Source organism: Homo sapiens, chromosome X (genome assembly GCF_000001405.40).
Source record: "Homo sapiens chromosome X, GRCh38.p14 Primary Assembly".
NCBI lineage: Eukaryota > Metazoa > Chordata > Mammalia > Primates > Hominidae > Homo > Homo sapiens.
Genome location: NC_000023.11, coordinates 51,850,185 through 51,852,108, shown reverse-complemented (window position 1 = coordinate 51,852,108; position 1,924 = coordinate 51,850,185). Strand labels below are relative to the sequence as shown.

The 1,924-nt window shown below is 40.6% G+C and overlaps 1 protein-coding gene across 4 annotated transcripts in view; it reads right to left on the bottom strand.

Annotated features, from left to right (window-relative positions):
• The window catches only part of MAGED1 (MAGE family member D1), a 99,279-nt gene that overhangs the window by 50,246 nt on the left and 47,109 nt on the right, over positions 1-1,924 (bottom strand). The gene's annotated exons all lie outside the window — the stretch shown is intronic.

Sequence of the window (1,924 nt, the reverse complement as noted above, 5' to 3'; positions counted from 1 at the left end):
CTGGAAAAAGCAAGAAGACAGATTATTTTCTAGCGGTCCCTAAGGGAAGGGTAGCCCTGCCAACACCTTGATTTTAGGACCACTAACCTCCAGAATTGTAACATTAAAAGTGTGTGGTTTAAACTACGTTTGTCATAATTTACTACAGCAGTAATAGGAAACTAATACATCTGGTAGTAAAGTTGTAGTTGCCATCTCTATACAGCAGTACCCCCTTATCTGTGGTTTCACTTTCTGCAGTTTCAGTTACCTGCAGTAAACTACAGTCCAAAAATATTAAATGGGAAATTCCAGAAATAAACAATTCATATATTCTAAATTGCACACTGTCCTGAATAGCATGATGAAATCTCTGGCTGTACCACCTGGGCCATGAATCCTCCCTTTGTCTAGCGTATCTGTGCTATAGATGCTCCCTGTCTATGAGTCATCTAGTAGCTGGCTAGGTTATCATCTCTCAACATCACAAGAAGGTAAGTATGGTGCAATAAGATATTTTGAGAGAAAAGAGAGAAAGAGACCACATTACCATAACTGTTATTACAGTCTATTGTTATAATCTTTCTATTTCATTATTAGTTATTGTTGTTAACTGTGCCTAATTTACAGGTACATTATGTATAGGAAAAAAACAGTGTATGTATAGGGTTCAGTACTGTCAACAGTTTCAGGCATCCACTGAAGGTCTTGGAATGTATCCCTGGAGGATAAGCGGGGACTACTTGTACTTGGAAACAGACTGGTACTAGGATTTATTCCGGCAAATTAGGCATAATCATTGACTGGCACTTTCTTCTTTACTCACAGGCCTGGATAAGCAAATGCAAGCCTGTGATTCTGCTGGATTTACTCTATAATAATTACTTTGAGATGCTGTATTTCTTTTAAATTAACAATGTCATGATTTCTATTTCAACAGTGAGAAAATGGAAACTCTGAGAAGTTAAGTGCAGTAACTTGCCTAAGGTCCATCCACAAAGAGCTAGGATTCAAATCCCTGTCAATCAGTTATCAAACCCAGTACTTTTCCACTGCATCTTGCTGCCTCTCAAACTGCTTGGGGTGTGATAAAGAGAAGGCAGAGTAACTGAATATATTCCTTAATACAAAGGATTCCACGTTTACAAGATTCCTTACTTTCCTTTGCTTTAGTGCTAGGTCACAGTAAACAGAATTTTGCTTTCTCTTTTTTTTGTTTGTTTGTTTTTGAGATGGAGTTTCACTCTTGTCGCCCAGGCTGGAGTGCAATGGCACCATCTCAGCTCACTGCAACCTCCACCTCCCGGGTTCAAGCAAATCTCCTACCTCAGCCTCCCGAGTAGCTGGGATTACAGGCACCTGCCACCATGCCTGGCTAATTTTTTGTATTTTTGGTAGAGACAGGGTTTCATCATGTTGGCCAGGCTGGTCTCAAACTCCTGACCTCAGGTGATGTGCCTGCCTTGGCCTCCCAAAGTGCTGGTATTAAAGGTGTGAGCCACTGCGCCCAGCCAGCATTTTGTTTTCTTAGTTTGACTTCCCATGTACCTCAATACTGAAACTGACATGCCCTGGATAAAAGGCCTGAGTGTGTTGACCAGTGGAAATAATACATTAGTATGATGTGTGTGTTTTTCTCTCTGTACCCGTATCTATGTTAGTCTCAGTAAATTAATTTGTATTTGTTTACCACCAAGTCTTGTTTCAACATTTCACAAATGCTCAGAACCAAATCCTGGACTGTGGTCAACTAACTGAAATCACCACTCTGTAGGCCCTTTTGTTAAGTTCTGTTGGAATTTCCAAATACTGGTAATTTCCTTTCTTTGATAAGTTGAAAAGCATTGACACATCCAACACAGCTCACTAGAGCGTGAGCCTCCTCAGGTGCTTAAATAAAATTGTTTCAGGCCGGGCGCAGTGCCTCACGTCTGTAATCCCAGCA